The sequence below is a fragment of the Homo sapiens genome, chromosome 6 (genome assembly GCF_000001405.40).
Source record: "Homo sapiens chromosome 6, GRCh38.p14 Primary Assembly".
NCBI classification, from domain to species: domain Eukaryota; kingdom Metazoa; phylum Chordata; class Mammalia; order Primates; family Hominidae; genus Homo; species Homo sapiens.
Window position 1 is genome coordinate 149,034,625 of NC_000006.12, and position 22,605 is coordinate 149,057,229.

At 41.5% G+C, this 22,605-nt stretch overlaps 1 protein-coding gene across 1 annotated transcript in view, besides 3 other annotated features; it reads left to right on the top strand.

Annotated features, from left to right (window-relative positions):
* UST (uronyl 2-sulfotransferase) overlaps positions 1-22,605 on the top strand; it is a 329,961-nt gene that overhangs the window by 287,595 nt on the left and 19,761 nt on the right. The window lies entirely within an intron of this gene.
* Positions 2,951-3,536: an enhancer, noted in NCBI's record as "H3K27ac-H3K4me1 hESC enhancer chr6:149358711-149359296 (GRCh37/hg19 assembly coordinates)". NCBI's record gives its function as "activates a minimal SCP1, AML or CMV promoter by ChIP-STARR-seq in primed H9 embryonic stem cells {active_cell/tissue: H9 hESC(primed)}" and the evidence as "EXISTENCE:reporter gene assay evidence [ECO:0000049][PMID:30033119]".
* Positions 9,046-9,125: an enhancer, noted in NCBI's record as "active region_25241". NCBI's record gives its function as "activates an Ori minimal core promoter by ATAC-STARR-seq in GM12878 lymphoblastoid cells {active_cell/tissue: GM12878}" and the evidence as "EXISTENCE:reporter gene assay evidence [ECO:0000049][PMID:35858748]".
* Positions 19,791-19,910: an enhancer, noted in NCBI's record as "active region_25242". NCBI's record gives its function as "activates an Ori minimal core promoter by ATAC-STARR-seq in GM12878 lymphoblastoid cells {active_cell/tissue: GM12878}" and the evidence as "EXISTENCE:reporter gene assay evidence [ECO:0000049][PMID:35858748]".

Here is a 22,605-nt window from a genome sequence, read left to right on the forward strand (position 1 = left end):
TTTACTATGTTTCTCAGTTGGGTCCAGTTTTCTTAATCTCGGGGATGCTATTTCTTGATTTAATAACTCATTTTACTTCAAGATGTTCCTAAGTTGCCTCCTCATGAAAGGTGCATGGGAGGGAAATTTTTTTTGAGTCATTGAAGGTCTGAAAAGCTCAGTATTCTACTCTAACTTGATGGCTAGTTTGGTTCTCATATTCATGCTCATTCTCTCTCTCTCTCTCTCTCTCTCTCTCTCTCTCTCTCTCTCTCTCTCTCTCTCTCTCTCTCCTTGGATTGTCTCTTTATTCCTTTTATGAAATTTTACAATATGACTCGGTATGTGTGCTAAATATTTAGTGGATACTTTCAGGCTTAAAACTCCTGTCTTCTATTTCTGGGAATTCTTAACATTTTGTTTCTTTGATGATTTTACCACCATGTTCTGCTTCTTTTCTGGAATGCTTTTAGTGGTCAGATACTTGAACCTCTAGATTCATCCTTTCTATGCGCTTCGCTGTTTTTTCCTCCCTCAATTGCCATCTTTTGAACATTTTTTCTCTGGAAGAGTTCCTCAATTTGTATTCCAGCCACTCTGTTGAATCTTCTCTTTTTCAGCCTTTCTTTCTTCTTTTTATATAACATCTTGTTCTTGTTAGTGAATGGATGCAATATTACCTTAAAAGTCTAAAAATTATAGACATTGGTTTAAGCGTTTTCATTTATTCCCCGCTTTATCTCTATTTGCTCCAGATTCCTTTGTACTGTTTTGGTTGGTTTGGGCTCTCTTTTTCAGTCTGAAGGCTTTCCTCTGGTGACACTTGTCTGTCTTTCGTTTTAAGAGTGAGGCACTAAAGAGCTAATTGCAGCCGGACATGGTGGCTCACACCTGGAATCCCAGCACTTTGGGAAGCCAAGGTGGGTGGATCTCTTGAGCTCAGGAGTTCAAGACCAGCCTGGACAACATGGTGAAACCTGTCTCTACAAAAAAAAAATACAAAAATTAGCTGGGTGTGGGGGTGTACAGTCATAGTCCCAGCTATTTGAGAGGCTGAGGTGGGAGGATCGCTTGAGCCCCAGAGGCAGAGGTTGCAGGGTTGCTGTGAGCCAAGATTGTGCCACTGCGCTTCAGCCTGGGTGACAGAGTAAGACCCCATCTTTAAAAAAAAAAAGCGAAGAAAAGCTAATTGTAAGTGCTGTGCAATGAAGGAGGCTCATTGACCAGTGGACCTCGCTTGAGGATAATCAAATAGCAATAGAGGTTTTGCTGGAAAAATATTTGTTAGTGATTGTAGTTTTTTTCTCTCTGGAGTTTGTCCAGTTTTCCCACGGAAAAATTATCCAAACATCTGCTTTGGGGATGGGAGATGAAGTGTGGTAGGAGAGTGGAGCATGCATGCAACTGGTTGCTGGTGTGGGAACAGGCGCTGAAGGTTCTCACTGAATGCACCAGTTTCCCCAGTGCTGGGATTTTAGCCCATACCTCTCCTTCCCACTCCTCTGGGTTAGCAAATCGGTATGGAGCCTCTGCCCAAACTATCTGGAGACTGATCCTAAGATTGCCTGCCCCTGGCTGTGGAGGGAACTGGGGTCCCAGCTGCTTCATACCTAGACTGCCAGCCTCAGACCCAGCTCTCCCGTCGGGGACACCCAGTGGTACTCCATCTCTGACTCTCAGCTGGGTGAGCTGACACTCCCGAGCCATGTCCCTTTTCGTCAGCACTTCAGACTCTCTTCGTCTGCTTTGCCTAATCGGATGCGTGCCTCCAACCGCATTTCATCTTCCAGAAATTGGTGGAGGCCTGCCTTCCACTGATAATCCTTCTCCAGCATTTTATCCATCTTTTAATAAAATGCCATCTTTAATAAAATTATCATTCCTTCACTGTCATTTTAGAGAAGTTTTTCAAAGGACAGGCATTGAAGGCATGTAATCAGCCCACTACATTTAACTGGGAATGTTCTAACTACCTGAACTTTAAGATTCTGCTGCCAGCTTTGTGTTTACCGTTCTTAGCTAGATCTGTCACACACATATCTTTTATGCAGTATCTGTGTAGCCATGATGTGAATCAAACTACCGTAGCACTGCCTTCAGCATCTGTATCTTGGGATTATAGTACTGGTAAAATTTCAAAAGCAAAACTAACAAAAACAAGATCCTTTAACGGTAATTGATTAATTAATCCCTTTTGGGTTTTTACTGGATGACATTACCATGATGAAGCTCCACACTTAATACTATGATTTTAAAATTACCTAGAAGACAAATCAGGGCTGTACTGGAGGTTTCTTGTGGGAGGAAATGTAAATTATAAGAACTGATAAAAACAGACTCCTGTGATCAGAGGCAGAGCGTATGACCATTTAAAGGTATCATTCCACATAACCTGGTGGAAAAGGACATCTTCGTTTCCTGTGCTGTTAGGTGTCAGTTTGGGGGAAACGTGTTCCCCAGGTTATGCACAGATGGCGGCACAGGCATGGAGTGGGGGAGTGAAGGCCTCGGGGGGTGAGCACAGCCAGTCTGCTCATAGACAGAAGGAAAAGCAGCCATCGTGAAGGCTCGTCTGCCGCAGCTGCTCCGGTAGCAGGAGCAGCAGCTCATATAACAAATGTTTCATGACGAATGCAAACAAAAGCCAGCTCCGAAATTCCAGCCATGTTATGTCCAAGCCAGTTCAAAATCGTATAACCACTCCATTTGAGTTTTTTCCCCTCTCTAAATACATTCCATATGAGCCGTGGTGTCAGGGTTGCTGGGATCGCCTGCGTTCACTCAGAAAACTGTTGTTAAAGCCCAGACTGAAGGGAAAGTCAATCAGTGGGAAAACAAACTCAAAGAAAACACGGAGGCCCAGGTGTGGGGGAGGGGGTTTTCCCCAGCCAGGCAGGACCCCTGGAATGAGGCTGGAGGCTGGCGAACACTCTTCCAGCACAGAAGGAAGAGTGTTCTTGCCTGGGAGCAGGAATGTGTTCAGTGGGGCCCCTGTGCCTGCGGCGGCCTGGCCACAGCCAAGCACCGCGACTCAAAGTGTGGTCCACGGACCGGTGCCAGTCCGCAAGCTGCTTGCTACCAGCCCGTGACGAGATAAGGGCAGAAATTAAGAAGCAGCATTTGGAAGCTTTGATGGGAATTTTACGTGGCTGTGGTCATTTTTCTGACAATTTATTTTTATCGTCATTTACAAAAGTGTCAATCTGAAATGGATTAGGTAGGGAAAACAATCCGAGGTTATTGGAGAAGCACTGCCGTAGATTTTCCTCCCAGCGTGGGCTGCCTGGGTCAGCAAGGTAGAAGGCCAGCCAGTGGGCAAGACCACTCCTAAGGCATCTGGGGCCTCCGAGGCGCCATGATTCTTCCATAGGGTTTGGCCTTCTTGGCTTCAAAGCTCAAACATGTGCTGCCCCATAGCAATGGCCAGACGCCCAAACCTAAAGAGAGAGAAACTCTGTCTTCCTAAAACTGGTTCCTTTTTGACCCAAAACCTTTAAAAGTGGCAATTTGCATTTGGATAGCGCTTTTACAGTTAGCAAAGTACCTTAGACTTACATTGGTTCACTTGTTCACATCTCTGTTAGGTAGTGTTGTGAATCCCCTAACGTTACCCAAGAATTGAGACCCCTTCCCCTGCAAAATATGTTGAAGTCCTAATCCCCTATATCTGTGAATGAGACCTTATTTGGAAGTAGAGACTTTGCAGATGTAATCAAGTTAAGATGAGGTCATACTAGATTAGGGTGGACCCTAAATCCAATGACTTGTGCCCTTAAAAGGAGAGAGAGACTGAGGCTCAAGGATGAAGGCCAGTGAAGATGGAGGCAGAGACTGGAGTGATGCTGTCACAAGCCAGGGAGCACCAAGAATTTGCAGCCACCCCTGGAAACTAGAAGAGGAGGAAGGATTCTCCCCTCGAGGGAAACACAACTCTTCCAACCCATCAATTCTAGTTTTCAAAACTATGAGAGAATAAACTTCTGTTGTCTTAAGCTACCTGGTTTGTGGCAACTTGTTATCATAGGAAACTAATGCAGTTAGAAGTCCTCTTCCTCCCCATTTCCAGGGGAAGACCTGGAGGGTCCGTTCGCATTCAAAATCTGCCCACGTTCAAAGCAGCTGTGAGGAGCAAACCTTGGATTAGGACAAAGAGCCTTCAAAGATGAACACTGTCCTCTGGATTGCCTTTCTTTGTTGTAGAAAGGAATTGGGGGGAAAAAGATGTCTAATATTTGGGGAAAGCTTTATAAGTGATTTTACAGTGATGCAATGAAATATAGTGAGGCGGTTGGAGTTTTAGTTTGAAGAATGTTAATATATTGGAAAACAGAAAAACAATGAAAAATCTGACACAATATTTATATTTATATTATACAATATTTTTATGTATTTGTTGTATACACACACACACAATATGCTTAGCAGAACAAACTAGAAGGGAAAATACCAAGAGAACTGCAGTTGTTAGTTGTGGTGGTTTCTGCATGGTTTTAGTTTCTCCTGTAGACTTTCCTGTGTTCTCTGCCTTTCCTGTAACACACGTGCATTACAGAGAGCCACATGTATTAGGGACCATCCCTGTCCAGACACTATGCGCTGTGATGTATATACATATTTCTTTTTCTTTTCATTTGTTTTTTGAGATGGAGTTTCACTCTTGTTGCCCAGGGTGGAGTACAGTGACACGATCTTGACTCACCGCAACCTTCGCCTCTCAGGTTCAAGAGATTCTCCTGCCTCAGCCTCCTGAGTAGCTGGGTTTACAGGCATGCACCACCACGCCCAGCTAATTTTGTGTTTTTAGGAGAGACGGGGTTTCTCCATGTTGGTCAGGCTGGTCTCAAACTCCCGACCTTAGGTGATCCACCCGCCTCAGCCTCCCAAAGTGCTGGGATTATACATGTGTATTTCTAATAGTCACAGCGGCACGGCAAGTTAGATATTAGCATTGCTATTCTACAAAGGACAAAACACAGCCAGACAGTCTAAGGACCATACTCAGGGTCTCATAGCTGGTGCAAGGCAGAGTCTGTCTGGCTCCAAACCCTGTGGGCTTCCCACCACGCTTTGTAGCTTTTTCTATTTTTGTGATCAAACAAAAAAAAGGACGACAGTGAGAAGGGCCACAACTGAGCAGCGAGGAAACTGTCGCTGTGGCCCCTTAAGGGAGGGCTTGCTTGTGCTCTGTCCTCTGTCATTTGCACGAAGTGGAGGAGTCCTCTTTTTTTTGGCAGTTAACTCTACAGGGGCTTCTTGAAGACAGGGGCCATGACCCGTCACTTCCATCAAAAGTCGTGACTGGCTCTCCTTCTCCCATCCTTCTCTCCTTTCTGACCTCCTGCCTGGCAGAGTTTTCAGAACAGCATGTAAAGCATGGTTACTCACCGAGCGTGTCTGGGACAAATACCTGGACATGCCTACCTGGGTCACTGGGTGGCCTGTTCCTCCACCACCCCCAGATCTGAAGGCTGGTTAGGCATAAAGATAAAAATTGCCACTGTTCTCTTTTTCATACAGTCCTGAGCTCTTCCAACTCAAACAACTCAAACCTTGGCGGTAACAAAGTTAAGTATTTAATAGCTTTTTAAATAAAGTACTGAAACTAGTTTGATTCCATTTGTATATCACAGTGTCACCCTAGCATTTTAATTTTCACTTGTCTCATTCTTTCTTTCTAGTATTTTGATCTGATTTTTACCTGTATTATTTGTATTTTTTCCTGCAAAATGCCTGTAGATACTAGCAGGTAAGCATTGTAAAAATAAAATTGTAGGCCGGGCGCAGTGACTCACCCCTGTAATCTCAACAGTTTGGGAGGCCGGGCGGGCGGATCACGAGGGCAGGAGTTCAAGACCAGCCTGGCCAACATGGTAAAACACCGTCTCTACTAAAAATACAAAAATGAGCCAGGCATGGTGGTGCATGCCTGTAATCCCAGCTACTCGGGAGGCTGAGGCAGGATTATCACTTGAACCCAGGAGGCGGAGGTTGCAGTGAGTCGAGACCATGCCATTGTACTCCAGCCTGGGCAACAAAAGTGAAACTCCTTCTCAATTAATTAGTTAATTAATTAAAATAAAATTGTATTTTGTATGTAGTCAGTCAGTGAAAGACCTGCGATTCAGTGCATTCTCCAGCATGTGGTCCCCCTAAGCACAGGTGCCAACAAACTGAACTCCACGGCGTGGCTTTGTAAGGGCTCAGAAACATCCAGGTAAAGACTCCCAAGGCCTCTCCTTACTGGTTTCTGTTTCCATGATCTGAATGCATTTTCTCAGCCATCTTACTAAGTTGTCATAGTAGAGACAGGCACTCTTTGCCCCAGTGAATGGATTGCGTGACATCCTCCTCCTTGCTGTGAGATACAGCCTGTGCATCCCCGTAAGACCCTGGGTGGACCTCTGTTATACAGAAACATTGCCCTTTTAAATAAAACCTAAAGAAAGTCCATGTTTCCCAGGTCGGCCTTGAAAAAGAAATTTCCTGAGGGAGAGGCAGCTGGGCCATTTATTTAACAAACACTAGTGATGGTGCACTTACTGTGGGCCAGACAGCATCATGAGGGCTTTATGGATATTGATGCATTTAATAGTCCTGATCTCTGTGCTGACTTCCTCCTTGCCTGGGACCTCTTGCTAGCCACTGCTGGCTGCCTGTGATCCACTCCAGGAGGAGTTGGAACCTGCTGGCTCACTAGTGGGCAAAGAACACCTCCTCTTGGACCTCCAGCCCAGCGAGCTATCGCTGCAACATCCTGCAGGAGAGCAGAGGGCAAAGGCATGAGATAGGAGCACAAATGCAGTGAGGCCAGTAAGTGTGACTGGCCTGTTGAGGTTCATAGCCAAGGAAGAGACCTGGAGCTGGGATGTTCTACCTTTTGTCCCCTTGTCCATGCCCCTTGCTCTTCTGGAGGGAACCCCTCTCCTCCAGGGTAGCCCCTGCACACCAGGCCTTCAGTTTAGTCATGGAGATCCTTTCCACAGTGACACAGAGTGTTGGTGACAATCTCTGGTCATGGTGAAATGCGCCGCTGTTCAGATGCCTCTTCATCGCTTGTTCTCTCCCACAACTGGAGACCATGACCAGAACAAAGAGAGTTTCTCTTCTGCATCCTGCTACTCCATCTTCCTGGACAGATTCCCCCGCTACATGCCTGCCTCCAGGCCTCCATTCCCACACCCTAGACCACCCTCTCCATGCTGACCACCCTTGGCACCAGAACCGTCCTCTCCTAAAACTCGACTGTCCTGTGGCCCACTCCCCGAGGACCCTAATAGATCATTCTAGAACAAAGATCTAGAATGATCTAGAATACAATATATTGACAGCTGACAATAACACAATTTGTCCTTCCCAGGGGAATTTCTAATAATGAGAATAGTGATCACAGAAATACTAGAACAGTACTTTCCACGTAGTGGGTGTACAGTAAAAATGTATTGAATTAATACTGAATGCATGTACTGTGATAAACATTTTATGTGGGCTACCTAATGTAATTATCAGAATAATCCAGTGACTTAGGCACTTTTATTATTCCCATTTTACAGATGAGGAAACTGAAGTTTGTATATGACGTCACTATTTTATGGGGAGGCTCCTTAGAAAAAAAAATCATTTTAGGCACTTTTTACTATACATGTACTGATAATTATTTTAAAGAGCTTTTTTTGTAGGAAGTATGTTCTTTTATTCATCTAAATTTGGTGCACTAAAAATACAGGTGATGTGATGTGAACTGTTGGCCATTTAAGCAGGTTCATTATCTCACATCTTTGGCCCTTCCTGCCATTCCTCTCATTAGCAGTGTGGGCAGAGGGTTAAATCTTGGCTGCCGTGGGATATGGTGAGAAACCCTATTTGTGGGTAGCTTGCCCTGGTCCACACTGCACCAGGACCTGGACCCAGGCATAGCACTGCGCCACCCTGCCACCCGTGGTCCAGCAGGGCCCTGAGGCAGGTCACTCCACTTCAAAGGAAGGAGTCATTCATGGTGGATGTCCAGGCGTGGCCTGTGCTACTAAGAGTGAGGGCTTTTTGCAAAAGAGCAGATTTTCAGTAGTACTTTTCCTCCTCCCCACAAACTATGCCGTTCCTACAACACTAAGTGTGGCCCACAGCAGAAGTTCTTAACCTGAAGTCCACCACATGGTTTTCAGGGAATTTTTATTTGATTTGATATATATTTTTTCCTAAATGTGAGATGGGGTCTCATTGTGTTGCCCAGGCTTGTCTCAAACTCCTGGACTCACGTGCTCCTCTTTCCTTGGTCTCCCAAAGTGCTAGGATTATAGACATGAGCCACCACACCTGGCCTTTCAGGGAATCTTTCAGCTGCTCCATCACCATCCTTTTCTTTCTTTCTTTCTTTCTTTCTTTCTTTCTTTCTTTCTTTCTTTCTTTCTTTCTTTCTTTCTTTTTCTTTCTTTCTTTCTTTCTTTCCTTCTTTCCTTCTTTCCTTCTTTCTTTCTTTCTTTCTTTTTCTTTCTCTTGTTTCTTTTCATTCTTTCTTTCTTTTTTCTGGAGACAGGGTCTCACTCTGTTACCCAGGCTAGAGTGTGGTGGCATGATCTCGGCTCACTGCAGCCTCAACCTCTTGGGACCAAATTCTGTCCTCCTGCCTCAGCCTCCCAAGTAGCTAGGACCACAGGTTTGTGCCGCCATACCCACTTATTTTGTTTATTTTTTATAGAGGTGAGGTCTCACTGTGCTGCCCAGGCTGATCTCAAACTCTTGGGTTCAAGCATTCCACCCACCTTGACCTCCCAAAGTGTTAGCATAACAGGTGTGAACCACGACACCTGGCTGCCATCCAGTTTATCAGAAAAAAATTTCATATTCCTGCTTTTTTTCTGGGAAGCAAAGAATTTTCAGATTTTCACAGGCATCCGCATCCCCTAGAACAGTGAGCATTCCAGTCTGTGTGGAAGGCCAGTGCTGTGGCCTCCTTTTCTGAGGGCTGGCCCTACCACGGGAGAGGAAGCACTCTGGTGGGAGCCTTGATGTGGACAGGCGTCATCTGACGGAGAGCCACCAGGAGGAGCCACTGGCTGCTGTCAGTCGGGAGAACTGGCCCGAGGCCCTGAGGCCGGCCATCTTGTTCAGAGCCAGGATGTGGCGCTGGCACTCCAAATGGTGACCAAGCCTTTTGTTTATGCGGGTTGACTTCTGGCTCTGCCATGCTTCTATATTTCCACATTATAACATAGGATATTGTTTGCCTAAGTATAATAGGGCATGTGCGTTGGTTCCTGGCATCAGCCATGGAAGATTAGCTTACTTTCACCAACTCAGAATCAGTCCCAGTGGCCATCACAAAAGACCACACAACTCCCAGAGTGTCTATAAGTAGATACAAAACCACATGTGTTATTAGTCTTGATCTTAGACCATATTATTATTAGCTTTGCTTTGGTTGAAAGTGGGCCCCATCATATTGTTAAAATAGAGTTTCACAGCCTTTAAGTGACTAGGGTACATCACTTTTAAGATGTTTTTCCAAAAGAAAATGTTAAATCCCAAATACATTTTTGGCTGAATAGTTGGTTTTAATGGTTCAGAGTCAAAAACTGTAACTTAATTCCTAGTAAAACTTGAATCAATTTCATGAGGGTTTTGCTAAACATTTCCCTCTGTTCAGCCTGAGACTTCTACCAGTTCTTAAATCTCAAGCAATATTAGCATATTCTTTTAAAATGTCAATGTTTTTTCATTTCAAAAAAAAACTCTTGTCAGTGTCTGACTTCTGTTGACATACAGTAGCTTATTTGTGGCCTCCATTATGGTATTGTGGTTAAAGTCTCCCATTTCCCCTCACTCTCTTTTTCCCTAGTATCAGTGAGGAAACACAATGTCAAATGACAGTCTGAACAACTGGATCTGTACTGCTGGCTTCAACCTCAAATGTAGTTCGCTGCCTTTCTACATTTTGCTTTTGAGGGGGATGACGGTCGGTGGGAATGTTATTCAGATATCAGCATCCGTAGGCTGAACTTAATATGAAGTGTGAGTGGTGCCCGCTCTGCCTCATTCGGCCATGGGGTTTATTGGGGAAATGGCGTCTGCTGCATGCCTGTGGCTCCAGCTTAATACCACCAGAGACAAGAATGCTGGGCGCAGCTGAAAGGCAGTAACCCATCTGGAGAGCTCCTAAAAAGGATCCAAGTTTGCTTAATAATGTGCTCAGTAGTCTAATGTTTTGGGCACAAATAGCAAAAAGCTCTTCCAATAACACGTGCTTTGGATATCAGATTAATCTGGGGCAGGAAACACTTGCAAAGTGGAATCCACCCAAGAGAAAAAGGCCAATATGCCAGCATCAAAGGCTTAGTGTTTTGTTTTGCTTTACAAAGTGAGCACATAGTGAGCACACATTGCTGAAACAATCAATGTCTCAACTGTATGCCAAATTCTGTAAGTTGATAAGTACCATTTTTTTTATTAGGGGTGTAACTAATAGAGCACTGCTTTTATAATCTAGTCCTACTTTCAGATTCAGAGAGATTTAGGCATTCTGAAGTTAAGTCCCAGGGCAGGGTCTTTACTCAAAGTGTGGATGTGTGGACAGGCTTTCTGGCTATAAGCAGTAGCATTAGCTATTTGGGGCTCAGAAACCCGTGCATTTGAAATTTGTCATTTTTTGTGAAACTGGGTTTTTATTTTGAGAGTTGCTCCTGTGTTCCTTATTTTTCCATGAGTTCACCTTCATGGTATACTAAACTTCATTTTTACTTAAGATGCAATGCTACATAGAAATAAGGAAAAGGGATTTATTTGGTCCACAAACTCAATTTATTGTATTAGGTTGGTGCAAAAGTAATTGTGGTTTTTGTCATGAAAAGTAAGGGCAAACATATTTTTGAGCCCAGATGATGTGCCCAACCCTGCTAGTCACACAAAGAACAGAGAGGACATGGATGGCGCTCACCAGGAAGTGTGTGTGGGTACCCTGCGGATCTCTAGGCACAGGCTTAGTAACAATTCTCTTGTCCACCACAGGGAGGTGACTGGAAGGTGCCAGGAAGCCCCAAATGATTCTAGTTCACTATTGCCCTCTCATATACAGAACATCTCTCTCCTGCAGTTGAAAGACTGAGCTTAAAGCCAGCAAAAATCTCTGAGAAGGAGAGGTGGGGTTTTAAGAGCAAGGCAACCCCCTTCTAGTTCTCCATTTTCTTTAATCATCTATGTAGGATTTTGTGTTTTATTTATTTAAAGGGATGCAGATTACTCCACAGTGCCACAATTTTGCCAGTCACCCAAGTCTGGAAGCTTGAAGTCCTTTCAATTATACCTTAAAAAAAGCCATCTCCCAGAATATCTGCTTAGAAATGTTCTAGATATTTTCCCAGCTCACCATAGAGCTGGGAAACCATCACAGAAGCCAGATTGCTGAATGCCAGGCATGTGACTGTCAACAACTATTGTTTTCTGGAGGCCACAGTCAAGAAGTATTCAATAGAAAATTGGAAAGAGATTTTCCCTTCAAATCCATACACAGCTTTAATGCACTTAGAACATACCTGTGCCTGGAGTATATCGTGCATCCCTGTTTATGGAGCCTAGAGTCTTATTTGGTGAACAAAATGTAAGCAAGAATGGCTTCAGTCCTATCCTGGAAGTTTAACAAAAGCAAGCTCAGAGGCTTCTTTCTGTTGGGAATATGCAGGTCACACACAATTAGTGTTATAAGTTGGTCCCAAAACCAGTCTACTGGCCAGGGGTAGGGCCACCACTGCCTGTTAGCAGGCCAAGGAGTTGGCTGATCTTTGGGTTCCTGTTTCACTTCAGCTTGTTCTGGATCATCTGCTAGGAAGCTAAAAGCTGCTCTTTAACAAGAAGGCATCTTCTATCTGTGAAGTTTTCTTCTCCTTTCCTGAGATGTGAAAATGGTATAGTACATAGGTCAATCATGGTCTTTGCAGTCAGTAGACATGGGTTTGAATCCCAGCTCTAATTCTTACCAGCTGTTTAACTGTCGGCAATCTCCTTAACCTCTCTGAATGTCTGTTTCTTCATCCGAAAGCAGAGAATGGTGACCTCACAAAGCTGTTTTGAGGATTAATGGAGATAATGTGCCCGTGCACCGATGTACAGTTTCCAAGGCACTTTTCTAATCATCTCATTTGATTCTTCCGTTTCCGTCTGCAATAGGGCAGGGTTTTCAAGTGCTCAACTTAGTCAAGTTTTTGAGTTTGAAAGGAGAGACCAACACAATTGTTCCAAAGTCTCTCATGATGCAGATTCCAGCATTCCCTGGTGTGATCCCTTGTGAAGTGTGGCATGAGGACTCTACTGGCTTCAGCTTTTCTGGTGGCAGTAGAATTGCCCATCTAGTGCCTACTGATCTGAGTGGACTTGACTTCTTGGCCGTGTCTCTGTTTGGAGTTAAAGAGGAACGATTTTCCTTGTGCATTATTTTGAAAATCACCTTTGAAGTCACTAGTTAGAGTTGTTTTCAAATGCAAATGTCGAGGTCACATGAAGTTGAGTGACCACATCCTGTGGCACATTCCCACTTGCTCTTCTAGTTTATTTTTAATACAGACCAAGAGTAAAAATATATACACACCCCATTTCAGATGCAAATTGAAGCCAGACTTTGTTTCTACATATCTGTGAAATGGAGTAAGCTAACTAATGGGAAAAAAGATTATGCCTAATACTTAGACATAGTTTGCTAGTAGTTGCTAATGTCAAAATAACATTGAGTTTTTAGGAAAAATTAAGGAATGTGTACAGAATGATGCTGCAATTATAGTCTTTATGTCTTTAATGAAATAGATTTAGGATTTCATTAGAAATCCAATAGAAGTAGGATTTTCCACACTAAGGCTCATTAGTCAGAGTCAAGGAAACACATTTTCATAATCATTTATGGAGCATTTCAAAATTTAAAAGTCCTTTTGGCTCTCTGAAATCTAATCTTATGTGTTCTCCCACCCCTTGGCCATTTTGGGATACTTAAATGAGGTCAGAGTTTTTCATTAACAGTTCAAGCCCTTGTGAGAAATTCTAGCCCAGAATTTCTACTTGAAATGTGAGCACCAAACTTTACTTTGGGAACAACAACAACCAAAGAAATGCAAACCAAGAGGACAGACCATGTTCATGCATGAAAATATGGAATATCACAAAAATGCCATTTTCCTCACATGAGCATATAATTTAAAGTATTTTTTTTTAGCTTAAAGTGATTCTCAAGCTCATCTGGAAAAAATAAACAAGTGACATGGCCAGTGATCTTTTTTTAAAGTAATGAGAGGAGATTTGCCCAACAAGATTCAAAAATACTAGAAAGCTCTTGGGTTTAAAATAATGGTGTAAAAGCACAAGCTCAGATAGACAAGTCAGTGAAACAGTAACAGAAACAGTTGCTAATGCAAAAGGTAATGTGCTCTCTGGTAAAGATCATTAAAAAGAAAGAATAAATAAAGGTGTAAATTAGTTAGCTAAATGTTTAGGGAAAAAATAGTCTCCTTATATCATGGGCCTTAATAAATTCCAGATGGTCTAAAGAGTTCATTTTTTTTTTAATGAAAATATGAAAGGAATAGAGGAAAATATAGTTGACTGTTTTTTGGGGGGATGGGGTTTTGCTAAGGATTTACTAAGCATAAAAGCAGTAAAACACATATTTATACAAGGAGAAAGTAAAGGGCTGGCATGGTGGCTCATGCATGTAATCCTAGCACTTTAGGAGGCCGAGGCAAGTGGATCACTTGAGGTCAGGAGTTCGAGACCAGCCTGACCAAAACCCCATCTATACTAAAAAATACAAAAATCAGCTGGGTGTGGTGGCGGATGCCTGTAATCCCAGCTACTCAGGACGCTGAGGCAGGAGAATCGCTTGAACCTGGGGGGCAGAGGTTGTAGTGAGCCGAGATGGGGCCACTGCATTCCAGCCTGGGCAATAGAGTGAGACTGTCTCCAAAAAAAAAAAAAAGAGAGAGAGAGACACAGTAAAGAATAAATATGTTTAATTGAAACTTTAAGCATGTTTAAAACATACTTAAGTTGGCAAAATATTTGCAACAATGATATCATATGATTATATTTTACCAAAACATGAAGCATTTTTTACAAATCCATAAGAAAATCACTAACAGAAAACAATGGAGAAAGAGAAATACAAGTTACCAACAAATACACTAAGAAATAAGCCCAACCACATTCATAATCTAAGAAGTGCATATTAAAATGAGACCATATTTTCTATGAAATTATTATTGTCTGTTATGTGAACAAACACTGAGCAGTCGTGGAGTCCCCGATGATGAGGATGAAGAGAAATGGCGCCTCAGGAGACTCCTAGAGGGAGAGCACATTGTTAACCCCTGGGGTAAAGAGCAAGTTAGTGATACATCTTAAAAGCCTTCAAAATGCCCATAGCTGCAGAACTGATAGAAAAATCCTGTACCTTGATTGTGGTAGTAGGGGCATAGGTATATATAGCTGTCAAAACTCATCAAATTGTATATTAAAATTGATGTGTTAATTAAATGTAAGTGATTCTTTGATTTCTTGGTGAGGAAATAATGTTTACAATCTTTGACCCATTTCAATGCTAGAAAAAAAAATCATACAGGTACATAAAAACTATTATAAGGATGTTCCTCACAGGATAGTTTACCATTGCACAATAAAAAGACAACTGTAAAAATAGAAGAATAGCTAAATACATTTTGATATACCAAAAACAGTTAAATGACATAGCTGATTGCTTGAAATATGATGTGACATGAAGTAAAGGAGAAAAGAATAGTAAATCGTATTTACAATATGATACCAGTTTTACTAGAAAAACTACGTGAGCACAGGAAATGATTAAATTGAAATGCTCAGAATGTTGATGTTGTTAGTCATATCTTTGGGTGGTGGGATTATTAGTAATTTATTTTCTTCATTTCCCAACTGTTAGATAGTAAGCATGTAGCATTTTAAATTATGGGAAAAGCATGAATTTTAGGAAAATAATTGAATGTTCAGATAAAAATTATATGGAAGCAGAAGGAGAGCCCACTGGCTTACTGTGGAATTGCTGGGAGCACACAGAATTTTTATCCCTCTCTCTTCCGTGTTCTTTTCCTGCACCCGCAGCAACACTGATGAAAATGGGGCAAGTAAAGAACATCATTCTCGAGGGGGCAGCACAGTTGTGTGCACACAAAATCCTGGGTTCCACTTTTTGTCCCTTTACCAGCCCCTCTCTCTAAGATATCTAACCTCTTTTTGGCAACTGTCCTTTGGATTTCATCAGTTCACCTGGCAAATTCTAGCCAGTAGTTTTTTAAAAACTCACCTTGTCTCTCTCTCTCTCTCTCTCTCTCACACACACACACACACACACACACACACACACACGTGGCCCTTTCTTGTATACAGAAGCTATAAAATGTGTGTAGATTTCTAGCCCTGAAATACTAAAGTTCTATAATTCTGTACTTAACTCTTTAATAATCTTGACATTTTATCTACCATATGAACTACGGTACAAACACCATTAAGGGCAGGACTTGGCTTTCCAGGCCTGAATGCAGGTATTTAAAATAATTGAATTACAAGAAGGTAGCTCATAGATCTTTTCCATTGCAGCATAACTGTCTTGAATCTGAAAACACATTGTCTGTCTTAACTCTGCAGTAGCTGACACACCCTCCTCCTCACAAGTCACTGTAGTAGTAAGATTAAATATTATAATGATGGTTTAGCAAATCGGATGGGGACTCATCAGCTATTTTCATATCAAGAACTGAGGTTGAAATATGCATCCTTTATTTGTTTTTCATTGAGTGATTACAGATGGCACCTAATAAAGTCTTCATGCTGTGATATCTTGAAGCCATTGATTTATGTTTGGTAAGTGTGGACACACCAACTCTAGTCAACCTCCCTCCCATTACATACCACAAGGAATGTTAAAATGACATTTGCCTATTTGCTTTTTCTAGTGACTGATGAGGATCCTTTCTGAGAGGTAAACACCAGCATTATTGAGGAGTGAAGTTTAGGCTTGATATTTTTCAATAAAGTATATTCCTCATTATACTTTATCCTCCAAAATAAAATGACAAAAATAAAACTTTGGACTTTTCTTTGGATACATATTAGCCAAAACCATCATGCCCCTGGTAAATATAAATTGATTCTGAGTTTTTAGAAAATAAATCACGAATTGTACAAAAACATTGAGAGTCAGAAGATGTTAGAATACTGGATGTGGAGGTGAATTGGTGTGCCTTTTCTTCCATTTGATTTGGACTATGGTGTGACTGACTATTTTAGCATCTCTTCCTAATTCTTTCCTTTGTTGAAAGTGTTGTAAAGGCCCACATGCCAAGGCTAATTGTGGGGCCAGAGCCAGGGAGACTGCTGGGCAGGTGGTTATCTAGGCAGGGATGGCAGTTGGGCAGAAGGCACAAGCAATACAAGCTCTGGGAACATCAGGTGGCTTCAGTCTAGAGACACAGATCAGGTAACCCAGGGAAAGATGGTGGAGTTGAGGAATAATGCTAAGAGTGAGGGCCACAGACCAGCATCGACCAGAAGCCTCCACGGTGAAATATGGATTCCATGAGCTTGGACTCAGCAGCCAAGAAAAGTCTCATTTAATAGTCATTGCGATCTCAATTTCACAGCCATATCGATGGAGAAACATCTGTGCTCAAGAGGAGAGAATTCCACAACAGCTTACAGCCACACACTGGTCATCCCTGTGAAAGATGCAGCTGACCAGACATGATGTAGAAAGTCAGGCAGGCCCTCTGAACCCCATGGGCGCCTCTGCCAAGTGGTGGCGAGCATTCTGGAAAAAGTGGAAAGGCCAATACAGAGAAGTGACGGGCCTGCAAATGGTCCTGATTTTTCTAACACCAATTCAGGGGCATCATTGGGTCTTTTGACCCAAGATCTTAAGTGGATCCTCTGTGCATTTCATTACTTAGTTAAATAGCATGTCATTCCGTAAGAAAGCAAACCTGAATTGGTTTTGCCTAAACTACATAGCCCAGGAAATTGAGCAGAGGATTGAATGGCACAGTTCCTGATCTCAGCAGGCTATGGTTTCCCCTTTGTATCTCCACTTTGTATCTGACTGCATTTTCTCTTTGCCCTAAACCATCCAGCTATTGCAGTGGCGATGGGGGGGTGTCTGACAAAACTTTACTTTTCTTCCTTTTTTATTAAAGTGTTTCAGATGCTGCAGTCATGAATGATTTTTGAATGTTTATTATTTACCTAATACAGGCAAGAAGATATAGTAGAAGATAAAAAATGAATAGAAAAGAGATAGTACTACCCAAATGGAACTCTATTAGGGAGGGGAAAATATGTGAAACATCCAAAATATATTTTTGACATTTTTACAGAATTAAATAATTATAGATTATACGGTATTCATGATCAAGAAGTGCTTTGGAATTTTATGCACCTAATGAATGTATAGGTGGGGAAAGTTGATCTATAAATGCACATGTATACTGTAAGGGATATGAATCTTTACTTTCACTGAACCACCAGACCTTAAAATTTTATAGGAGCAGAGCATCTCAAAGTCTTGATGTCTGTAATTTCATAAAGTATCATTAACACATTAAGTTTCAACTAAATTGAAATTAATTGTTTCATTTGGGGAGATTAGCATTTTTCTATTTCAGTGGCAGAATACTGATGTTTCAAGGGAATATATTTTGAGGATAACAGTCATAATATTAATAGTTGTTGTTATTATATTTAACACTCATTGGGAGCTTCTTGTGTCTCAGGAATCTTGTTAAGTCCTTTAGATGTACTATTTCATTTAATCCTAAGAACAACCCTGTGAGGAAGATACTATTATTATGTCCATTGTACAGATAAGGAAACCACCAACTTAGAGATGATTCATAACGCTTCTATGTTACTGAGCTGGTCGCTAGCAGCACTCAAGTGATTGAACATTCAACCCAGGCCCAGGTGACTTGCAACCCCGTGCTCGTAAGCTCTTAACTGGTCTCTCTCTCTCTCTCTCTCTCTGAAAAGGGCAAAATCTAAAACATGATTATCTGAGGGAGATGGGGTAGCTAGAAAAGTAGGATTCTATGAAATGTTATTCTGCTGAATTCTCAAGAACACAGTGTTTCTGGAAAGCTTAGTGGTTCTGTTGAGGTGATGTTCATTGATATTCTAAATGTGTTACTTTGTTTTATTTTTTTGTTGGTGGGGGAAGACTTTACTAGTTGGAATTACTAAAATCGCTTTAATAAAGTGCTTGCAAAGACTCAATCTGGTTAACAGTAAAGCCATTTGTTTCAGTCATGTCAGCAACTTTGGTTTTCATAAGGGTTTTAATGAATCGGAGAGTGGAATTTAAGAAAGCAAACAATCCAAGGAATACTCCTTATTTTTCTAAAATAGCAAAGCAAAAATGGGAACCCTTTCCAGTTTAGTTACAGCAAGTATCTATTGGAGTTTTAGAAATTCTTAGAGTACATCATTTATCATATAGAACAAAACTTGATTAATGAACACTTTTTAAAAGTCTTTTTAGGGTCCTATTATTATTTTAGTTGTTTAGATATAAAAATATTTTATGACATATTCACTGTTAAATTTATAGTGAATTGACATTCAGTGACATTTGTTTTTAAAGTTGTTTATTGAAATATGTAGTCTACCAGAAATAAGTACGGTTACCAACTACTGAAATCAATTTAATAGTAATTTGGTCTTGTTAGTCTGTTAAAAAGAATTATTGGCCTTCAGATATTTCCACAAAGCCCTTTGTTACTCATGAATCCCATCAAGATGCTATGAATAAAGACTGTGAATATCAATAAGTTTGAAAACATTCCATGCTCATGTTCAGGGTCATATTTTTCCCTGTCTTCTATGTTCCTCTTTGTGGCTATAAACCCAAACTTATGTGTTGTGTGTTTTTTCTATGACAATTATGGATATGACTTATTTACTATATGCTCTATGAGGTATAACCTAATGTCAACTGACTTCAACTATGTTTGCCATACTTCCAAAAAAATAGCCACTCATGTATCTGTCTGATCAGGAGGTGAACCGATGGTGCTGTATGAAATTGAGAACTAATTATCTCATAAACATTCTAAGTGGATATAAGGAATTATGTGCTCAGTTGCAACCACTAATTTATCGAAGCACCGGGTCTAAATACCTCAGGGAATGCACAGAAGCCTGATGGTTGAAAAGCCTTCAAAGCATTCTCTCAGCTAAAAAGTACAAGAATTGGGGCTCATATCTAGTGCCTTTTTGGACAGTTGGTCACAGAAGCTTAGAAACATTGGCACAAGTATTGTCAGGTGGAGCCTGGCCGTGACCTCTGTGAAATGGCTGTCATGAGCTTGGCAGGGTGGGAATAATGGCTCTCCTGCCACCATCTGTCACCCCTGTCCAAGACACCAGCACAATTTGAGAGCAGCTGTGGTTCCCTACCCTATTCTCACCCCATCCCCCCATGCCCAGCAGCTCCCTCCCTGGGACTTTGGACCTCGTGGGAAAAAAATGGAGAAGGAGGGAAAGAAAAGTACTTGAGGGTTTTGTAAATGTTCAGAAAGGGAGGGGGGTGCGGTAGAATTAAATCTACCCAAAGAAGAGCCAAAGAGCTTTCACTTGCTTTCCCTTCTAGCCAACCAGTAACCAGTAGGCCTTCATTTTATTGTCACATGTAAAACTCAAGAAGTGATGAGTAAGTAGCATTCAATTAGAATTTAATCTTTTTTGGTAGAAATGGTGTAAAAGTTTTCAATGAGGATATGCTGATTCCTGGTTGCATGTTCCACAGCCTTTGATGTTCAACCACATCATCTTGCACTTATAGCTAAAAGGTGTCAGACACCTAACATTGTCTTAGCAATCTTCTGTGGTTCCAGATACTGTGTGCATCTTACAGGCTGGAGTTGGGGGACACCGATGCTTAATGGGAAAACTAATGACTTTATACAGATCTTATAAAACTCTGCTATTGTCGGGGGGCAGGCATTTAGTAGATTAAGTTTGTAATCTAAGAGAGGAAACTGGGCAGGAAAGACAAGAGTGAGGTGAAGCACCACCGTGGACCAGAAAAAGGCTTGAAATTAGAAGCCTTTGGCAAAAGTGTGAAACTTTGCCACTTTACATTGTTCAGTGGGTCAGAAATTGTCAAAGATTTTCTTTTTTCTCCAAAGAGAAATGACGAGGAAGGAGAGACATTTTTTATTTGTTCTGGGTGTTTGTTTATTGTTTGTTTTGGACAAGGTCTCACTCTGTTGCCCAGACTGGAGTACAGTGGTGCAGTCACAGCTCACTGCAGCCTAGACCTCCCCGGCTCAAGCAATCTGAAAGAGAGACATTTCAAAATTGAACCTAAGACTCATGGTTTATCGCATGAGAACCCACAGCTCTCACAGAAACTCAAGAAATGTCTTAGTGAGGGGACTCAATCCTTTACACTTCGAGCTGAAAGGACGGCAGTCAGCCCAGCCAGGAGGTTACCTCAGCATAGACCAAGTAAATAAATCATTTGGTAGAAGCCATTTGAGAGTAAAGGTTACTAGAAAGTCATAAATCAACCAGCAAGTCGATGTATGGTTTTGCTAGAATGTAGGAGCAATTAGAAATTTTTAGAAATATTTCTTTAACTGTGCGTGACTTGAGGAAGAGGACTATGACCTAACTAACCAGTTACTATTATTATATCAAAATGAGATTTTAAAAAATACAGTATGGATTTAATGCCGGTTCACTTATTCAGTTTTATGCAGTTAAGTTGTTGTTTTTAGAACATTATGAAATTTCATTTCATGCCCCAATAAAACTAAACTAAAATGGAATGGGTTACAGCTTTTCCATTTGTTGACTTTTCTCTTTCAAACATCTTTGATTTTCCATTCATTGAACACACTTTTTAAGAATGCTTTGAATGTCATTCAAGTTACCCGTTTCTCCTGTCCCCTCCCCCACCTGTCTCTAATGCAGTTTCCAAAGTGAACCAATCCTAACGGAACCTAATGATACCTTTGAGCACGTTTCTTAGTAACACTAGCACCTCTTTCTTACCTGCTTCTAATTCACATAATGGCCTTTCTAGCATTGGCTGATTGTTTCTTTTTCATTTCCCCTTTATCACTCCCACCCATGTCTTATCAAAGGGGAAGGCTGGTGGTTAATGGTCAGTGCATTGCACCACAATTTCATGCTTGTGCTGCATCAAAAGTCTAACCTGACAATCAGTCCCTTCTCTTCCATCTGACATCAGAAGCTTCTGCAGTTTCTCACAGCCATTGGCCATGAAAGTTCAGCTCAAGAAGTCATCGCAACTACCTTCATTTATAGCCTGTTGTTGACCTAAAACCTAATGCATGTCAGTGCTCTTCTCTGTTTCTTCTCTCATGTCAGAAAAATTAAAATGTTTTAATTTTTTTCCCAGGCTGCATTTGCAAGTTTTAATATGTCTATAACATTTTTATAGTATATCAGTATCCATATCAAACATTTAACTCTGTTACTCTGCTTTTCTTTTCTTTTCTTTTTTTTTTTTTTTTTTTTTTTTTTGAAATGGGGTCTCGCTATGTCGCTGCAGTGCGGTGGCGTTAGCTCACTGCAACCTCTGCCTCCCGGGTTCAAGCGACTCTCAGCCTCCTGAGTGGCTGGGATTACAGGCATGCACCACCATGCCCAGCTAATTTTTGCATTTTTAGTGGACACGAGGTTTTGCCATGTTGGCCAAGCTGGTCTCAAATTCCTGACCTCAAGTGATCCACCACCTTGGCCTCTCAAAGTGCTGGGATTACAGGCCTAAGCCACCGCACCCGGCCTACCCCTGCTTTTCAAAGTCATAGCCATGATACCCAGGGATTTTTCCCTCACATGGTCCTGGTGTCTACTGACATTAGCTTATCAATTTCAAACTTTCCTTAAGCAAAACAAATGGGCCTCCTATACAAATGGGAAGGTTGCAGTTTCATCTCATTTTTTCTTAGAGTTTTGCCTGGTTAAAGCAATTTGGATGTTTTTAGATATTCACACTGTCTTATTTAGTGTGCAGTTGCAAATCTGATTTTTAACAGGGAGAGAAGGAAGAGGTAGGGCTGTTAATTTGCATTCCCCTAAGACTGAGTACTACCAGTGGGCTACAGGTTGCCCAGATAAAGTACATTTAATTTTAAAGTAACATTGCAAACTCTCCCAGTAGAATTGACAGCATCCTTGGAACTTCATTTCACACTTTCCTGACTTGGGAATGGTTATTTTGAGTAGCACCTCCTATTAACCTAACTTCTTAATGCCTGGACAGAAGGTTAAATATCTCACTTATCTACATGTTCGGCCTCCATGAACAGCTGCTTCATTCACAGCCCTTCAAGGGTTTATCAAAATTTCCCCATGTTTAACATTCCAGAGAGAACATCCAGGTTGTTGGCTCTTGAGACTCACCATTGGTTCACTCACTGAGGCTGATGATTGTGACTAATATAATCTTAAAACAAAAAATGCAATAGGATACATTCTGTTAAAGAAAATGCATTTTGAATTAACTATAAAAATACAAAGTTCTGTGATAGCCCTATCTGAGTACCCAGTTCATAGAATCCAAAAATGAGAAAAGATTTCGTCTCCGTGATTGTAGTCATCATGTGG